Genomic DNA, 20,989 nt, shown 5'->3' on the forward strand with positions numbered 1-20,989 from the left:
CTCATTATGTCACCTTGTTCATTTTCATTTCTCTTTAATTGCTTTTTATTTTACTCTAATAAAATGTAACACCATTTATTTTCCTCATTTGAATTTACAAATGCAAAGTATGCAGAATTATAATTCTTAATTTTAAATGTTTTACCTCCAATTCCCCTTAAAGTGAATTCACTTACTAAGCTGCTGAGTCATTGAGCTGATATTCAGATGCCCTTTCAAAGCAGGCCTGAATTCCTGGATCTCTCCACAGCCGTTTTATTACCTCAGCCAGTTGAGGTGTCATGCCACCATCTTCCAGGGTATTTGCCATTGCATAAAGTTGTCGTTGGTCCTCCTAGAACAATATTTTGGTGAGAATAAGTATGTATTATTTGGAATCACATATTCTATTTTCTAATAGAGTAATTTACTGGGATAATTTTAATCTTATTCTTTTAGCTAATAATTCCACCAAACATCTTTTTGAACTATATTGAGGTAAATAGAACTAAAGTTTTTCATGGCTGGATGATGCCCAGAAGAGTTCTCCTTTGCAAAAACTATAAAATATTATGTGAAGAAATTAGCATATTTTGAAATATGTCACTGACTTCTGAATATGATATCAAGGAGGATAATAATACTTTGCTGTAGTCATACTAAGTTTGCAAAAGGTCTACATATTATACCAAGGTAAAATAAAAATTAAGCTGATTTAATCTGGTATCTTCTTCTTTTTTTAATCATCGCCATGAATTTTTCTAGAAAAAAAAAGCCAAGTAAAAATTAGAGTAGACCGGGCATGGTGGCTAACGCCTATAATCCCAGCACTTAGGGAGGCCGAGGTGGGTAGATCACTTGAGCCCAGGAGTCTGAGACCAGCCTGGGCAACATGGCAAAATTTTTCTCTACAAAAAAATTAGTCAGGGATGTAGTACATGTCTGTAGTCCCAGCTACTTGGGAGGCTGAGGTGGGAGAATTGCTTGAGCTTGGGAGGCAGAGGTTGCAGTGGGCAGAGATTGCACCACTACATTTCAGCCTAGGTGACAGAGCCAGACCCTGTCTCAAAAAAAAAAAAAAAAAAAAATTAGAGTAAAAATGGAAATAAATTCATTATTCTAAAATTGTATTGTTTCAAAAAATTAATATATAATGTTTTTTTGTCATCGGGTTACTGCCTCGTAATCATATAAAGAATGGTAAACATTTGGATCCACATAATATTTTTGAACATCCCTGTAGGCATTGTTGATTGCATATGCCTTTGGAACAAATCAGTAGGACAGAGGTGAGAGTTTTTTATGCAAAGCAAGGAATTATTGTCTTAGTCCTGTTGGGATAACATTTGGAGGTTACCAGCAAAGAAGGAAATAGAAGTTTACTGAGTAAATACTATAGTCTGCAATTTATTTAAACAAATAATCAAAATAGCTTTATGACAAATCATTTTTTAAAAAATTAAGATGTTGAGTTTCAGAATAACTAAATTGACTGTGGTAATAGCCCAGGCAAATGGAGAAGTCTGAACTCAACCTTGTTGTCAGCCTCTAAAACTGATATCTTTTTTAGCTCATAACCCTCCTAGTGCATATTATTACAATTTACAAAACTGCACATGCAATATCACACATAATCCTCACAACCATGAGATAGACACTATATTTTCTCCATTTTACATGTGAGGAATCTAAAACTCAGAGTTTTAGAAACGAGTAAACCAGTAAATACAATAAGTATCAGAATAAGAGTCAAATACAAGCGCATTTTGTGCCATGTCAGGCTGTTACTGTTACAGGAAAGGGGTCCCAATCCAGATCCCAAGAGAGGGTTCTTGGATCTCACACAAGAAAGAATTCAGGACGAGTCCATAGGGCAAAATGAAAGCAAGTTTATTCAGAAAGTGAAGGAATAAAAGAATGGCTACTCCATATACAGAGCAGCCCCGAGGGCTGCTGGTTGTTCATTTTTGTGGTTTCTTGATGATATGCTAAACAAGGGGTGGATTATTCATGCCTCCCCTTGTTAGAGCATATAGGGTAACTTCCTGACATTGCCATGGCATTTGTAAACTGTCATGGTGCTGGTGGGAGTATAGCGGTGAGGACAAGCAGAGGTCACTCTCATGGCCATCTTGGTTTGGGTGGGTTTGGGCCAGCTTCTTACTGCAGCCTGTTTATCAGCAAGGTCGTTATGACCTGCATCTTGTGCCGACCTCCTTATCTCACCCTGTAACTTAGAATGCCTTAACTGTCTGGGAATGAAGCCTAGTGGGTCTCATTCTCATTTTCCTCAGCTCCTATTTAAGATGAAGTTGCTCTGGTTCAAATGCCTCTGACACTACCAGTGAAGTATGTTCAATAAGAACTTGCTGCTTTTCTGATACAACTCAGCTTATTATTATTTTGAATTGACTACAGTTTTTTTCTACCATTTTATCAAAAATCTGTTCTTTGTATAAAAAATAAGGATATGTCACTTATTGTTAAAGAGACACTGGTAAGGGTAAAAAAAGAAAATAACTTATTCTATCTTTCTTCACAATCAGCTTTTATTGTTAAAAGTAAACTGATCAGATGGTCATTGGTCCACATATTCAATGTGTAAACCAAAAACAAAATTCTAAGTCCCCCAAGCAACAGAATTCTAAGCCCCGCAACCAACAGAAATCCCTCTTGGCCAACAGAATTCCAAAGTAAACCTGAAAAACTAGGTCAGGCTGTGATAGGAAGGGTGGGGTCAGACATGCCTCATTAGGCCCTCCTCCCTTTGGAATTCAGGCATAACTCACCCGCATTAACATTGAAACAGAGATCTTAGGACTGATAAAACAGAATCTTTATAGCAATAAGATTCCAAATTCCAAACTGACTCCAGTATAGAGCAGGCCCTGAAAGAAATTATTTTACCCCCAAATATATTTTTTTGGCATATATAAAAGAATAAAAGAAAATAACAAGAAAATAAAAGCTGTCTTTTGTGGGGGAAGTTTACATTGTGTAGAGAAGCCCCTTCCCTTTTCAAGGCCTTTTCTGATCCTGGTGAGATTAGCTGAAAGTCTAGCACTTTTTAAAGGTCTACATAGGAAATATTTGCCATCTATTGCCTCTAAGGGTGCCACCTATGAGGCTTCATCTACATAATAAGAACCTTGGTCTCCACAGACTCTTAACCTAGAGACTCCTTTCTACTGATTCTAGGCCTTTAGACAATAACTTAATTCTTTCAACCAATCAGAAAATAACTTAATTCTTTTCAACCAATCAGAAAATGTTTGAATCCACCTATGACTGGAAGGTCCCGCTTCAAATTGTCCTGCCTTTCTGGACCTTGCATGTATTGACTGATATCTGCCTGTAACTTTAATCCCCATAGAATGTATAAAATCAGGCAATAACTTAACTACCTTGGGCATATGTTCTCAGGACCTCCTGAGGCTGTGCCATGGGTCATGGCCCTCACATTTGGCTCAAAATAAATCTCTTCAAGTATTTTACGGAGTTTGGCTTTTTTGTCAACAAATGGCCATATCAAGTCTCAACCTGATTTTCCTGCATCAACACAGGATAGATTTTTAAAACCCCATTTCTCTGTTAAATGGATATGAAAGAGAACTGCAAGTTCAGTGAAATATGCTCTGGTCACTTTCACTAGCATCATGCTATTGGCTCCTTCCACTATTAAAGTGCTGTTTAGGAGGAATGATGCCATAAAACAACCACTACACAGTTTTATCCCTAAGGAGAAAAAATTATATATCTTGTCAGCATAGCTTTACAAACCAAACAAATATACTGTTTCATTTCTTTCTGTTTTTCTTTCTTATTTTCTTTTTCTTTTTTCTTTCTTTTTCTTTTTTGTTTTTTTGTTTGTTTGTTTGTTTGTTTTTTGAGACGGAGTCTTGCTCTGTCATGCAGGCTGGAGTGCAGTGGCACAACCTAGGCTCACTTCAACCTCCACCTCCCACTTTCAAGCGATTCTCCTGCCTCAGCCTCCCAAGTAGCTGAGACTACAGGTGCACACCACCACACCCAGCTAATTTTTGTAATTTTTTTTTTTTTTTTTTTTTTTAGTAGGGTCGAGGTTTCACCATGTTGGCCAGGATGGTCTCGATCTCTTGACCTCATGATCTGCCCACCTCGGGCTCCCAAAGTGCTAGGATTACAGGCGTGAACCACCATACCTGTCCTTCCTTTTTAAAAAAATATTCTATTTTTAATTTCAATATACTTTATTTGTAGAGGTATCATGAATATAGTTCTAGTTTAAACACTTCAATGTTACAAAGTCTCCCTTGACCACTTCAATCCTACTACCTCCTACAAAGGCAAGTTATCCTATCAGGTTGGTTTTTGTGTCTCCAGACCTTTTACTTTTTAAATTTGTGCGTGCATAGTTGGAGCCTACGGTAATGATTTTCAATCCAGGCTGCACATTACAAGCATATGGTGTACCCTTAAAAGTACTGATAGCAGAACTGCAACCCAAACAAAATGAATCAGCATCCTTGCATGTCAGGCCCTGCAAAGGTAGTTTTTAAAAGCTTCAAGGTGACGCAACTGTTCTGACTGCATTAAGAATTTCTGGCAATATACAGTTGTTATTTTTTTAACCATAAATAACACTTTATTGAACATAGTGTATTTCCATTCTTGATGTTCTTCTGTGCTTATTGAAAAGCTGGTATAATTTAAAGAATTACAATTCTTTAAATTTAAAATTCCTTAAAGCTTTTAAAGGATTGAGCCTACCCATCAAATGTGAATTTTTAAAATATATAACACCAAAATGTATAGGTATTATGAAAACTTAGCTTCCTCATAACGGCCAAACTGATCGAACACTTAACTCCTATTTTATTGTTATATTTTAAAAACTCTAGTAATTTCTCACCAAACTCAAAACTCAACATAAAACCCAAATCCCTTATCCCTTACTGTGACTCACAAGGTTCTACATGTTTTGATCCCCTCTTTCCCTCCTTTCTCCCTTTCTCTCCCTGCCACCAAGACTCAAGATGCACTGAACAATTTGTTGCTCCTTGAACTCACCAAGCCCTCATTTCAGCGCATTTCAGTGGTTGTTGCCTCCATGTCCTTCGGTGGTTCACTTCCTTTTTCACTCAAGTCTCTTCCCAATACCACCTCCTCAATGAAGCCTTCTCTAATCATCCTTTCTGCCACATTTTTCAAATAACACCCTGTGGATTTGAGTGGCATCCCAAAGAAGTTTTATTTCCCTATGAGGTATTTGGAAAAGCTTGGGAATTACAGTGGGCCTGGAATGGCTCATTCTCTCTCTCTCTCTCTTTAAAGAATATTTATTTTATTTACTCATCATTTTTATTTTACTTTAAGTTCTGGGATACATGTGCAGAACATGAAGGTTTGTTACATAGGTATACATGTGCTATGGTGGTTTCCTGCACCTATCAACTCATCTTCATTCTCTTAAGATTGTGTAACTTTGGGACTACATTGTATAGAAAATAAAATATGTGTTTTCCCTACAGATTACTCAGAACTTCATCGTTAATATTAGGGATCCCAGGTGGTCTTAGAACTTTGTGGAACTTATTCTGAACCCTAGAGTCATATTTCCAAATATCATGAAAAAAATATCAAAAGAAAGGAAGACTATATAGTTTACCTAGTAATTGTGAGAAATGCTGAGTTAAAAATACCATGTTTTGTGGCTACTCGGTTTTCAGAATCTTTGAGTAGTAATATTGGTTGAAAATTTCCAAGTTATTGGACGCATATATACCAAACAAATCTAATCACAGAACTTCAATTGTAGAACATCTTGAGGAATCAGTGCTTTTTGGTTCATATTGTAGAGTTTACTTTGTAGGGTTCTATGTCCAAGATGATTACAACAGTGCTCAAATTATGTAGTAAAAGTGTTACAATTTTCAGCATTCTTTTATGTCAGTTGAGTGGATTCTATATGCTCCAAAATAGGATATAATAATATTCAAAAGGATAAGTAGATATTTACTAAATATCTTCATTATTTCTCCTTTCCTATTTCTTCAGGATATGAAGGTTTGTTACATAGGTAACAAAAAAAGAGGGTTTGTTAACCCTCTTTTCAAGTTCTATGCTTAGGAAATTCTAAGCCTATCAAATACTAAACCACAACCAATAAGAACAATCCCGATTTAGCTGCTTCCCCTCTAACTACATATCCCATCTCTCTCCTACTCCTTGGCTATAGGTCCTGAAATATTGTCCTTAACTGTTCCAATAGCCTATTCTCATTTCTCCACATATTCCACAGGAGTAGGAGTCCACCATTCTTCTGGAACCTCTCTCACTATATTCCCAATGGCTCCATATTTCTAAATCCAATAGATTCTATTTAATAGTTTCCTTTCTTGACCTCTCAAGACCTTTCAATGTGGATAATTCCCTTTGGAACACTTCTCTTGAATTCTGTGATTTCGCATACTTCTGATTTCCTTTTACTCTTCTGTCCTCTCCCTTGAAGGTTCTTTTCCTAACAAATGAGCAGAAAATATTGTGTGTTTTTTTTTTTTAACACTCTTCCCTAGACTCTGTTATCCCTAATACCCTTCCCTTCTTAATCTAAGTGCTTCCTTCACCTATTCCATCCTACTTTCTTAGTATGAATTATATGCCATAGTATAATGGCATGCCAATAACACCTAGATTTAGATCTCTAGACAAAGTGTCCATTTTGGGCTTCAAATGCACATTTGTAATTGCTTACATATGTAGATATCAAATAGAACTTACAAACTCATTCCAAAACCAAACTAATTAGTTCTTTTCCATCCTCATTTAATGTTAGTGTTCCCCTTCTTAGTAATTCCTTCTTTAAGCAAGGATTGAGCTCCACATATAGCTGCACAGCCTTTTTGAAATAGCATATTTGTAGTTACTTGTTAAACATCAAGCTCTCCTCTCCTGATGACAAATATTATTTCCATCTCAGTTACTGCTGAGCCCTCACTACATCCCCGGTGTCCAACTAAATGTCTACCACATAAATAATAGTTTAATAAAAAATAATTTTTTCAAATGATGTTGGATGTATAGATTTCACTACCTAAATTTTAATGATCCTATATTCAAAATAAATATTGAAAAATAATACCTAATATTTACTGAAAATGTACATTCTATAATACTCTGTATATAGTGGATTTCTTATGTTTTTGCTTCCTTCTTTAATAGTCATTGTAACTCAAGGAGGAAAGCCATAACATTCTGTGGAAGCAGACACTGAAATTTAGAGAGGTTAACTTGTCCAAACTTATAGACCCAGTGACTAATAAAGCTCACATAAATTTTCTATCAGAACTTCTCTCTTTGGCAATCTGTGTGATGATGTGCAAATGGCTATATAAAAGTATATGCACTTGTATAAATAAATAATTGAGAGCTAACCAGAACTCTGAAAGTCACATGTAGGTAGTGTTTAGCAATCAATCTGTTAAATAAACAATTTTAAACAGGTCAAGAGTATATTAATCTCAAAACCAAGTACTAGAATGCAGCTGAAACTGATAGAGTTCACATAAGTGGAAATCAAAATATGAACTATGTCGTGCCTGACAACTGTGATGTTCTGATAGTTGAGAATATAGGTACTCTTGAGAAGTTATGACAATGGCTAAGTGCTGCTTAAGTTGATCTGTTTATGCCATTCAATGTACAGTTTGAATGAACTGTACTTTTATTTTTTAATTAGCATGATGGCAGCAATGTGTAGAGTTTATTATTTTCACTTCCCCTATATGTCAACTCATTAAGACTTTTACTAATAAATCTCTCATCTCACTTTTTTTTTTTTCAAGACAGGGTCTTGCTCTGTTGCCCAGGCTGGAGTGCAGTGGCGCCATCACAGCTGCTGCAACCTCAACCTCCCAAGCTCAAGTGAATCTCCCACCTCAGCCTCCCAAGTAGCTGGGACTACAGGTACACACCACCATGCCTAGCTATTTTTTTTTCTTTTTCTTTTCCTTTTTTTTTTTTTTTTTTTTTTTATAGATACAGTGTCTGGTTATATTGTTCAGACTGGTCTGGAACTCCCGGGCTCAAGCGATCCTCTTGCCTCAGCCTCCCAAGATGTTGAGATTATAGGCATGAGACACCATATCTGGTCAAATATCAAGTATTTAGTGATCAGAGCGTCACTGTTTCACAAACTCTGGGTTCTATGAAAGACACAGTCTATTTAAATAAGTAGCAATAGGCAAGATTGTGATTTCCAACTTCTCTGACACAAATGCATGGAATACCGTATTGCATCTACAAATTTAAACATCATTAAATCATTCTCAAAGGAATTCAGAGGGTACGTCTATTTTTGTAACTATTATTGCCTAAGAGGAAAAAATAAATATTTCTAATCATTAAATCCTTGAATAGCAAAAAGCACTATAATGGAATCCAGGAGAAGTGGATTTTTCCATAAACTTGAGCTACTTAATGTAAACCAACTAATCTTTGAGCCTTGTTTTTTTTAAATTAAGGTGGGTATACTATGTTGTTTCTTAAGAGCCAATTTAAAATCCTACGTTCTTAGGAAAAGCCAAGGTCAGATCCATAACTGAACTACACTTAAATAAGAACATGATCACTAAGTCAGAGAGAGATAAAGAATAAAAGGATCTTGGAGTTCGACTCCTCCAAGTTCCCCTTTTACACATGAGAGGGAAACTGTAGCCAGAGAGATAGATTGGAGCAAACTGTGGAGAAAGCTAGAAATGGGAATCAGTAAAATACCTGACTCCTTGCTTTATAAACTATCTGCCTGAAGGCCATACTTAGCATTTCCTTGTTCTTTGAAGAAAAGTGACAGGAAAAAGGGGGATTTCCCCTTTCTTTACATTAAGAGCACAGAAAAGGCTTTGTTTTGTTTTGTTTTTGTTTTAATTGTAATGATTTCTGGTGGTCATTTACAAGATCCAGTGGTCATTTAAAAGGTCCACTAAGCTGGGGGAGGGAGTTCAAATGACTCCTCTTTCTTTATCCTTACTATGCTTTTGCTCTCTATTTTTATTGTTTCTATAGCAAGGTTTCCAAGAATTACGTTGGTAGGCATTCAACTGGCATCCTCTGGAGGTAACCAGATGCCCAGCTGCTCCTGGAGGGGACATATGGAAGTGGGTGAGTTCTTCTTGTGGATTCTACTCCGTTACTCTTTTTTTTGGGTGGGGTCAACTGTGGTTCTTTGGATAATACTGTAAGTTTCATTTGCCAAATAATTTTATATGTCTGCCTATAAACTTTTAAAGTAAGTGGATTTCAAATATAATTTAATGTAAAATAATTAGATAGCAAAATATAAAGTAGGGAGAAAATAATTTTGTTGCTACCTTACAAACGGAACTATGACTACTTGAATATACTTGATATACAGACATTTGCTTACTCCTACAATTTGAATTCTTTTTTAAAAAAAAACTTATCAAGTAATCATTTCCCTGTTGCCACACAGACCTTGTAATCATCGTCAAACATTAATTATAATTGTTATGTTATTAAACATTTTTTAGTCTCTTTGAAATGGCATAACTAAAAAAATTAATGTAGAGATATTGCAAATTGTGTTTATGCCATAAATTCTTTTGTATTTAGCAATCACAAGCAATATTTTTATTTGTTATGGTGTATTATTTGATATTAAGTTTAATCCTCAGGAAAACAACTAATGTTGAATAATATTACAGTATATAGTAAAAAAGTTTCACTTCAAGGAAAATAAGAAATCTTACACAAAACAGAATTAATGTTTCAAAATTCATGTTTCATATTTTTAAATTTTGGATATAGATTAATACTATGAACTTATTAAGTCCTCTTATTTTATGGCTCAAACTCTATTGCAGGACATACAGCTGTCATTATTTGCATACTTACTGCACTTCTGGGATTTACATAATCAATTCCAAGGGTAGTCATGGCTTTCACAATAGCTAGGATGGATTGCAATGTATTACTGTAAATTACTGCTTTGAACTCCATGCATTCTTGCTCACTGTAACCATTCTTATGGATGATCCTATAATTTAAACATGAAAAGTTTCTGTGAGTTGAATAATTGATTGTAACACTAAAGCACATCCAACTAAGTTGCTTGAATAAAATTACAGTATATATTCATTAAAAAGGAATTTTGACCATACATATATGCTAACTCTAAACAATTTTATGCCTTTGGACTTTTATTATCATTGTCATTTATACAGTATTTTCTTTCTGGGCTACCCATGATAAATATGAAAAGACTTAGGATTTGTTATTTAAAAATACTTTTTTAAAATGGGTAAATCATAAGCATTATACTTAGAAAGTCTATTTTTTTAAGAGAAAAATTTCTAGATTCCCAGGACAAAGATATATACAGAGTTTGAAACTTGACCTTGTGTTTACAACCTGATGTCTAGAGGAAGCGAAGTCATTTAGAACATTCATGACTTTTCCTATCATGCTGAAAAATAGGAGTGCCTGCTTTCTATTTACAGCATTAACAAAGGCATCTTTTTTAGTACACGTAATTGCCCTGTTAAATTTCTTGTCAGTTCTCCATCTGTGTACGTGCCACTGAGTTATAAAAGTTGAAATGCCTGACATTTTATTTGGCTGAACTCTTCTCTACCTTCCACTCATTCAGCCAAACTCAAGATTTTACTAGTAGTTTTCGAATAATAGCTTAAAATAGATTTACCTATCAAAAGCTAAAATCGTTAGATATGCCAGTTACGTATTTTTGCATCTTTATTGTATAATTTTTTTTGTTCCTTTCTATTTTCTCTTATTGTCTTGAAGTCCTTTGTATTCATTAGGCATCTTTTTGGATGTCATATTACTAAAGATTTATATTGTGTCTACACGTATAAAGGCTTTAGCATGGGGGGAAAAGAGCATAAACACCTCTTTAATGTCTTTGAAGATATTAGAAGCTTCCTATACAAGAAATCTGAACTGAAAGGAGTAAAGGCACAGCCTATATTTGTTATTTGTTGTTTTTTATATTTGATTACAAATCATTGCTGAACTTCTACTTTAAACATGGTCATGTTTGTCTTGCTGCATTAAACCATTAAATAACTTACATAAGTAAATAAAATAGACAAAGGCTGTAGAAAAAAATGCAGTAAAATGTCTTTATGGATAGATCAAGAATAAGTTTATTAAAGAAATCCCAGTTTTCTGTCAAATTGAACTTGGAAAATTATTATTAAAATGGCAACTGTGAATAAACATGAGGCACTTAGGTTATCTTCATGAAACAAGTTCTGATTACTATGAGAAGATGAAGAAACATTTATCACAAAGAAAAATGATAAAAACAGAAGTTAAAATGTCCAGTTGAAGTGGGACTTTAAACAACATCGTTTTTCCAGGAGATGCATATATAAATTTCAGTGAGATAGAGCACTCCAACTGCAAAGTTGGTTCTGAGGTCTGTTGAAATTAATAAGCTTTTACTGTGCATTTTCTGTGACATACTGTGTTATGTGTTAAAGAAATACATTATACAAGTCTCTCCTTCCCAAAACCATAGACTAGAGCTCCTCTGTATAATACATTAGTCACTAGATGATTAATTAAAATTAAGTAAAATTAAAAATTTAGTTTCTCAATCACACTATCAACATTTCAAGTGGCTACTAAAGCCACATGTGGCTAGCAGCTGCCATATTTCAAGGCAAAATAGAGAACTTTCCTATCATCCCACAAAGTTCTGTTGAAGAGGACTGAGTTATAAGAAGGCAGAGCATATAAAGAGATTTTTAAACATTATGATAATGCATAGGAACAAACTCTGCATATAGTAAGATGCTATAGAAAAGAAAAAGTGATAAACTCTACTAGGTGTAAGGTATCAAAGAAGACATCCCGGAAGCAGTGATAATCAGCTGATTGTTCAAGGATAGTTATTCCTAGATGGTCAAAAGGAGAGAGAATCATTGTAGGAAGAAAGATCAGTATGAGCAAATAGATGCTCACAATTTTCAAGTGTTCAATATGTGCCAAGCACTATTGTAAGCACTTCATCTGTCTTATTTCTTACAATAAGCCCTTTAAAGTAGATACAATTATGATCTACATTTTATAAGTAAGAAATGTCAGCATAGATAAATTAAGCAAATACCCCCAACTTATTCAGTTAGTTTGTGATACACCTGGGCCACAAACACAATCTGATGTACAGTCCATGATCTTAGCCATGATGCTCAGCCTTCTATAGTGTGTTAGTCTACAGACTTATAAAAGGTCAGCATTAGTGAAGCAGGAAGTAGGGGAGAAATTACAGGACAGGAGGATGAAGACATCGGCAAGAACTGGGCTCCAGTGTCTTGTGTGCCATGGCAAGGAGATTGATCTTGACAGCAAGGGTGAAGAGTTGAATTCAGGAGATAAAATCAGCTTTAAATGGATCAGTTCATGGCAGTGTGGATAATGCAATGAAGGGAAGAGAAGGGAGGTAGAAGCTCCTTAGGAAGATACTGAATTAATCTAGGTCAGAAATGATGACCAATGGAGATCAATGACATGTTTGGAGACAAATTGTGTAGATGTGGCATGACTTGGTAAAAGGGTGAAGGCTTAGCATAACTATGCTGAGATTTATTGCGTTGTAGGCTGGCGTTGTTGTAATTAATTTTAGGGCGATAGAGGCCAGATGGGAGATAAGTTTAATGTTTATTCTGATTTGGACCTAGCCAGAGAATATAGCAGTAGATGTATCTGCCTCTCTAGTTTAGACAAAGTGTGTGAGTTTGAAAGAAATATTCTGAAACAGTCAGCTTGAAGATTCTGGTGAAAATCATAGAACTCTAGCAGTTTTCATTTTGATGAAGGTGCAGAGTAAGTAGAGAAGTGCCAGCATCTCCTGGTACAGTAGAGACACTAACATTTTAAATGTAGTCAGAGATAGAGTTAGAAGAATAAAGGAGATAGTTAGACGAACCGGGAAAGAGTTCTAGAAGCTGAAGAAAAGTTTTAAGTGAGAAAAGTGATGTCATCTGGAATTAACATAAGGACTTAAGGAGACTTCAAATAAAATGGCTATTCGAAGATGACATAATAAATAATCTTCGTAAGGGCAACTTCTGCAACTTACCAGAGGCAAAAGTGTGATGAAAATGGCTGAAAGTGGAAAGTAAAGAGAGCTAATTTTGATTATTTTCTACAGAAATTCTACTGAGAAAAGGAAAGACAAAGCAGAACAGGAAACTTGCTCTTTTTAAATAATAAAAGAAGTGCTCATTGTAGAAAATGTGAAAAGCCTAACAATATTAAAAAGCAAAGGTGCTTTGAACTTTAAATTCCACTATTGAGAGAAAATTTATTTGAATACTGGTAAATGCTCTCTCATTTTAAAAAAGTATCTATTTGATCATACTTGAGATTAAAATGTTCATGCACCGGGCACAGTGGCTCATGCCTGTAATCCCAGCACTTTGGAAGGCTGAAGCAGGTGGATCACTTGAGGTCAGGAGTTCGAGACCAGCCTGGCCAATGTGGTGAAACCCCAACTCTACTAAAAATACCAAAAAAAAAAAAAAAAAATTAGCTGGGCATGGTGGCAGGCACCTGTAATCCCAGCTGCTCAGAAGGCTGAGGCAGGAGAATTGCTTGAACCTGAGAGGTGGAGGTTGCAGTGAGCCAAGATTGTGCCACTGCACTCCAGCCTAGGCGACAGAGCGAGACCCTTTCTCAAATAAATAAATTAAATAAATAAATAAAATAAAATAAAAAATAAAATGTTAATGCAATTTTGTAACCTGTTTTTTTAGTAAACATAGCATTTTCTCATATTAAAACCTTCTCATATACATGAGATTAATACATGATTTGTAATAGTTATATAATATTGCAATTGAAGAATGAATAGTCCTGTAACTTTGCAACCTAATTGCTTATGTTTTATTTTAATTTGTGGCACTTTATTCTATCCCATATTTCATTATCTTAAATAGTGATATAAGCCTTTTATACAGGCTTTTATATTATTGAATTATTTTATTTTCATGCCTATGCATATTTTATTACTTTTGACAATTCTCAGAAACATATTTAGATCAATAATTTTCCCAGCTTACTATGTATATTAAAGATATTATTTTTATAAATTCTCTGTAATATATAATTTTACAAATAGCAATTAAAAATATCCATTTCTCAAAATCTCATTATTATTGGGTAATTTTTTAAAATTATTGTTTGTCAATTTACTACAATGAAAAATTACCTCATTAGTGATCTGATTTTTAACTTTTATAATAAGGTTACACTAAAATACATTATCTATTGAATTTTGTCATTTCTATACTCTCTATTCATAGCCTATCCCCATTTATGTATATTGGGAAGCTTATTGTTTTACTTAGCAATCTATGGGCCTTTATATACTAGTCACCAGTTATTTATCATATTTATTATAAATTTTTTCTTGTTCTCTAATTTTGGCTTAATTTTATTTACGGTTTACTATATTTAAAAGTTTTATTTTTTACGCAGCCAAATAATTGGTCTTTTTTTTTCTTTATTTAAGCTCATAGAGAATGGAGAAATGAAAAAAGAGAGGTTCAAGCATGATCACAGCCTGGGAGACAAGAGCAGGCAGATACTGTGGAAATGTTATAAATGAATGCCAGATGACTTAGTTGCAAGGATGGTCCTAAAAACTCAAAAATGGTGCAATCCCAGGGAACAGAATAAAGGAGCTCTGTTCTTCAGAGACAGTAGGAAAGATCAGGTGTTTGGTTGCAGATAAGTGAAGCTTAAATATTGGTTGATATAAAACTTACATGAGATTATCACATAAAAGGAAAACAGTGTCTTAGATTGAAACCAATTTCATTATTGACTGGCAGGCATCACTCCCTTATAAAATATGGCCCAAAGAACAAGATCCTTTAACATATAATTTAAAAATATGCTCAAAAATGGTCCTCCTCCTCTTCATCCTCCTCTTTCCTCCTCCTCCTCTTTCCTCTTCCTCCTCCTCTTTCCTCCTCCTCCTCCTCTTTCCTCCTCCTCCTCTTTCCTCCTCCTCCTCTTTCCTCCTCCTCCTCTTTGTTCCTCCTCCTTCTCTTTCCTCCTCCTCCTCCTCTTTCCTCCTCCACCTCTTTCCTCCTCCACCTCTTTCCTCCTCCACCTCTTTCCTCCTCCTCCTCTTTCCTCCTCCTCCTCTTTCCTCCTCCTCCTCTTTCCTCCTCCTCCTCTTTCCTCCTCCTCCTCTTTCCTCCTCCTCCTCTTTCCTCCTCCTCTCTGCACCTCCTCCTCCTTTCCTCCTCCTCCTTCTCTTCCTGCTGTTGTTGCTGCTGCTTCTGTTTCTTCTGCTTCTTCTTTTACTTCTTTTTAGCCACAATTATCCTTTAAAATTCTCTAGCAGTAACAAAGCCATGAGGTTTCACCCATTTACCTTTACTTATCAATTACCTTTTTATTCAGGTAGACACTGCATTCTTTTGTCATTATTTCCTTATTAAGGAATTCAGGTCTAGTTATTTCATTATAAAAAGGAAAAAGTAGAGAAACAAATGCAAAAATACATCACAATTCATGATAGTAATTAAGCATTTTATTCCCAGGTAGGCAAAATGCTAATGAGGTTAAAAATACTGTTTCCTCAAAAAATCAAATATATGATTGATTGACATTTTAAAATATTTACCGTTAATGATCAGATTATAAAGTCCTTGATATCCCCAGATTAATATGACTAAAATATAATGCTTTAAGCATTTGTCTTATTGAGAGGCACATTTTAAAAAATGGAAATTATAATATTATTCATCTGCTACACTTTCTGCTAAAGGATACAAGGTATATTTGCACAGGAACTATGACCACTCTATGATCCATGATTTAGAAAAGATTGTCAATCAGCATTTACAAAAGCATGTATTTTAAGAATGGTCAAATACATGGACAGACATCAAATATTAAACACTTGAGACAGATGTATACCTACTTCATTTGTTTAACAATAGTACTTTTCCCAGATTCTCCTGCTCCTGCAACATAAAAAGAGGAATATTATTAACTGATATACCAAATTTGAATAGATATTAAAAACTATCACTTTTCATGGATAATCTTTAATTTTTTTTAATAGGTTTAGGGGGTACAAGTGCAGTTTTGTTACATGGATAAACTGCATAGTGGTGAAGTCTGGTCTTTTAGTTTACCCAATATCTGAATAGTGTGCATTGTACCCAACAGGTAATTTTTTTCATTCCTCACCTCCCTCTCATGCTCTCACTTTTCCAAGTCTCCAGTGTCTATTATTCTACTCTTTATGTCCATGTGTGTGCACTGTTTAGCTCCCACTTATAAGTGAGAACATACGGTATTTGACTTTCTGTTTCTGAATTGTTTAACTTAAGATAGTGGTCTCCAGTTCCATCCATTTGCTGGCAAAGACATCAAAGACATGATTTTTTTTTTAATGGCTGAGTAGTATTCAATTATATATATCAGATTTTCTCTGTCCAATTTTCCATTGATGGACACTTAGGTTGATTCCATGACTTTGCTATTATAAATAGTGCTGCAATAAACATACAAGTGCAAGTGCCTTTTAAAAATAATGTTTTTCTTTGGGTACATATGCTGTAGTGGGATGGCTGGACCAAATGGTAGTCCTATTTTTAACTCGGAGAAATATCCATACTATTTTTTCATAGAGGTTGTACTGATTTACATGCCACCAACATTGTGTAAGTGTTCCCTTTTCTCTACATCGCTGCCAGTATCTGTTGTTTTTTGACTTTTTAATAATAGCCATTTTGACCTGGTGTAAGGTGGTCTCTCACTGTAGTTTTTTTTTTTGGTTTGTTTGTTTTTGTTTTTTTTGAGATCGAGTCCCACTCTGTCACCAGGCTGGAGTGCAGTGGCGTGATCTCAGCTCACTGCGACCTCCACCTCCTGGGTTCAAGTGATTCTCATGCCTTAGCCTCCCGAGTACCTGGGATTACAGGCGCATGCCACCATGCCTGGCTAATTTTTTGTAGTTTAGTAGAGACGGGTTTTACTACGTTGGCTAGGATGGTCTGGATCTGCTGATCTCGTGATCTGCCTGCCTTAGCCTCCCAAAGTGCAGGATTACAGGTGTGAGCCACTGCACCTGGCCTTCACTGTAGTTTTAATTTACATTTCTCTGACAATTAGTTGTAGTGAACATTTTCTTACATGATTGTTAGCCATTTGTATGTCTTCTTTGAAAAATATCTGTTCATGTCCTTTGCCCACTTTTTGATGGAGCTATTTGCTTTTTTCTCGTTGAGTTGTTTGAATTCCTTGTAGATTCTGGGTATTAGTCCTTTGTTTGATGCATAGCTTGCAAATGTTTTCTCCCATTCTTTAGACGTCTGTTTACTCTGTTGATTATTTCTTTTTCTGTGCAGAGCTTTTCGTTTGTCCCATTGGCCTATTTTTGTTTTTGTTACACTTGCTTTTGAAGTCTTAGTCACAAATTCTTTGCCTAGGCCAATATCCAGAAGAGTCTTTCTTTTTGAGATGGAATCTCGCTCTGTCACCCAGGCTGGAGTGCAGTGGCAAGATCTCTGCTCACTGCAACCTTTGCCTCCTGGGTTCAAGCGATTCTCCTGCCTCAGCCTCCTGAGTAGCTGGGATTACAGGTGTGCGCCATCATGCCCAGTTAATTTTTGTATTTTTAGTAGAGACAGGGTTTCACCATTTTGGTTAGGCTAGTCTCAAACTCTTGGCCTCAAGTGATCTGCCTGCCTCGGCCTCCCAAAGTGCTGGGATTGTAGGCATGAGCCACTGCACCCAACCCACCCTATTTAAATTTCTAATTCGACTCTCACCCACTCAGTCTTCATTTCCCTATTCTACCTTCACTTCTTTCCTAACACTTTTCTCCTAACACTTTTCTTCTTCTACATGCTTAGGAATAATTCATATATTATTTAAAAATGTTCCTTTCATCACTGCAAAGTAAATTTCACGTTGCAAAGAATCTCTATCTGCTTTGTTCACTGATTTAGCCAAAGCACCTAGAACAGTGCCTAACTCAGTAGAATCTCAATAAAACAAATGAATTCTTTGACTCATACTTCAGAAATGAGATTTTGTCCTTTGTACTGCGCATCATTTTTTCCTCACTGAAATGTTTCTGCATGATTTACAATGTTTTCTTAAGCCTCGATGAACAGATATAGCTACACCTAAATTTAGTTCTATTCAGGACAACTTTTCTTTTTTTTTTTTTGGTCATAGCCATATGTAAATATATCTAGTTTCTGCAGTTGTCTGAAACAGCTGTCCACCTTATGTGATAGTGAGGAAATAAGAGTGGTAAAGCTATGGGAAATTATGTTTCATTTTCTGGTGGTGATATATAGATTCTTTCCCTTGGGAAAACTTCAAGAACACACCTCTCCATGATTTTATGCTAGTTGGCTCTCCATCACTGATAGTGAAATATGACAACAAAGTTGATAGATGCAAAAATCAAAGTAACTTGCTAAAATTTCTTTACATAATCAAACACAAACTGACAGATTGGGTATAACCATCTCATTTACTAGAGGCTGCAATGCCCAAGAATGAAACAGTTGAGAATAAAATAAAATCATCTTGCCCATTTTCCGAAGACAACTGACCCTATCATTTTGCATGGCTGAGAATTGTTTGTGAGAGTGGCAACTCATTCAAAAATGAATGAGCTTTGCACAATAGTCTGGTTTGCTGGCTTTAAATAACTCACTATTTTGCTGTAGGAAGTGCATCACTTTGGGAAAAGTCATACAATAATATTATAAAACTGTCCTTGATAGGTTTTATTTTAAAATCTCTAACAATGGAACTGAATATTCGAAATTCTAGCATCATCCTGTACAAATGACAGAATATCAGAATATCTTGTTTCTCTCTCTATATATATACACATATACGTATATACATATACGTATATACATATACGTATATACATATACGTATATACATATACGTATATACATATACGTATATACATATACGTATATACATATACGTATATACATATACGTATATACATACATATATACACACACACTGTCTTAAATTACAGAGCAGTGGGGATGTGGAAGAAAAGTCAATGGGCTCAGTAGGAACTGCAGTACTTGCTCATGCAGGTATGTTTAATGTTGTATTTTGTTCAACCAAAGTATTCAACTAGAAATGAGAAAAAAGTCTCATTTCTGAATGTCAGTTAAATTTATTTAAAAGATGATATAATTTCTACAATAAAGTGAAAATAATTTAGACCACTTTCTTTTAAATGAATTGTCTATCTTGAGATATTGAGCCTAATGAGAAAAAGTGTGTCAATGATTTTCTAGAATTGTATCAGCATATGTATTATAGAGAAATATTTTATTGATTAAGAACCACTTTTAGGCAGATTAAAAAATCACAACCGAATTTTATTTTATTCACTATATGTTATTGACTAGTTGAAAATTTATAAATTTGTGAAAAAAGTGACTTTTAGACTGTGTCAGTTAATGTACATTCAGAATGGTCTTCTGTACTTCATAAATATGGCCATTTGGTAATCATACAGATAACACTAAGTTGTGGCATTTCCAAAAGTATTTCTAAGGCTACAGGGTATGTTATTGTATAACAATTATTTGTAACTTAGCTGGTAATTCATGCTGTGTTTAAGGTAAGCAGAATAATCAATCACTTTTTTAAAAATGGCATGTACTTTTAAATGAAACTACATATTAAAAGTTAATATTTTCCCTTGAAAGCCTTTAAAAAGGTGTCTGTACCATCCTTGCTTTATGTAGTGACTTCAGTCTTCTATGTAAAGGTCCAGTATAGTCAATTACAGCATTAAGAGGAAAATTCCTAAAGAAAAGCCTATCTACTTAAAATCTCATTTATTATTTGGAACTCTATTGCAAAGTTATTTCAAAAATAAATTATTGAGCCCCATTCTCACAATAATTCTAGGTCATAGTTCACAATAGTCATTTCAGTCTTGTGAGATTAGATCATGTTACAGAGCCAAATATAGACATTATAACAGCATGTTCACATCCGCTGATGGTGTCCTGAAATAATCTCTTCCTTCCAAATTGTGGTCATCGCTAATATTAGTTTCTGGGTCAAGGGGTACCAAGAGAATTTTAACAAGATATGCATCTGTTTCTTTGAAATAGATAATGTTACAAATAATTAAATATTTAAATTTATACTTAATTCATACTTAGATACTCATAAATTATTTTATTTTTAATAAGAATAAGTAAGGAATCCTGTTCTACATTTTTAAATCTGAAAATATTAAAAAGAATTTTAAATCTACCCAATATTTATACATGTAACTGAACTTCAATTGAACACACACAAGGCTTGATTGCTCATTTTGGATGACTTGTTCAAACAGGCAAAATGAGATTACAACATTGTGACTTGTAATCACACATAAGATTTTTTTTTGTAGGTGGTCTTAAAAATCACATAATTGTATAGTAGAAAGAAACCTTAGAAATCAACCAGCTATGCACATCTCTTCAGTCTATGCGTGAGAAAAATGAATCCAATAGAGATTATGATAATCATCCAAAGTTTCAGATCTGTCTTCAAACAAAGAAACTATGTATTCTGACTCTTACTAAAGCTGTGTCATATCGCTTTCTTTTTTAAGTAGGCACTGATAAATACCAAAATGGTTTCAACACTTTAGAAATTATTTTAAATGCATTTTTTATAAATTAGTATGAGAGCGGTGTACTTTTTTTGTTGGTTTGTTTTGAGACAGAATCTAGCTCTGTTGCCAGGCTTGAGTGCAGTAGCATGATCATGACTCACTGCAGCCTTGGCCTCCTGGCCTCAAGCAATCCTCCTGCCTGTCTCACAAACTGCTGGAATTACAAGCATGAGCCCCTACACCTGGCCTTGAAAGCAGTGTACTTTCAGAGGCATACTGGTATTGCTGTGTCAGCTTATCATTCACAGGTAGACTGTTGGTATAAAAGATTTTTAGGGTAGTCTCTTTTGAGCC

At 34.9% G+C, this 20,989-nt stretch overlaps 1 protein-coding gene and 1 long non-coding RNA gene across 2 annotated transcripts in view, besides 1 other annotated feature; one reads left to right on the forward strand and one right to left on the reverse strand.

The window, feature by feature from the left end:
• GNAT3 (G protein subunit alpha transducin 3) overlaps positions 1 to 20,989 on the reverse strand; it is a 53,430-nt gene that overhangs the window by 20,030 nt on the left and 12,411 nt on the right. The window contains exons 2-4 of the mRNA NM_001102386.3: positions 15,941 to 15,983; positions 9,871 to 10,012; positions 177 to 334 (exon numbers count right to left, since the gene is read on the reverse strand). Coding sequence (NP_001095856.1) covers positions 177 to 334; positions 9,871 to 10,012; positions 15,941 to 15,983 — 343 coding nt within the window. The remainder of the gene's footprint in view (positions 1 to 176; positions 335 to 9,870; positions 10,013 to 15,940; positions 15,984 to 20,989) is intronic.
• Positions 109 to 403: an enhancer, noted in NCBI's record as "tiled region #1340; HepG2 Activating non-DNase unmatched - State 24:Quies". NCBI's record gives its function as "activates a minimal TATA promoter and a strong SV40 promoter by Sharpr-MPRA in HepG2 cells {active_cell/tissue: HepG2}" and the evidence as "EXISTENCE:reporter gene assay evidence [ECO:0000049][PMID:27701403]".
• Positions 7,803 to 20,989, forward strand: part of LOC107986812 (uncharacterized) — a 28,132-nt gene continuing 14,945 nt past the window's right edge. Inside the window, exons 1-2 of the long non-coding RNA XR_001745252.2 lie at positions 7,803 to 7,923; positions 9,022 to 9,117. This is a non-coding gene — a long non-coding RNA (uncharacterized LOC107986812). The remainder of the gene's footprint in view (positions 7,924 to 9,021; positions 9,118 to 20,989) is intronic.

Source organism: Homo sapiens, chromosome 7 (genome assembly GCF_000001405.40).
Source record: "Homo sapiens chromosome 7, GRCh38.p14 Primary Assembly".
In the NCBI taxonomy this organism is placed as follows: Eukaryota; Metazoa; Chordata; class Mammalia; order Primates; family Hominidae; genus Homo; species Homo sapiens.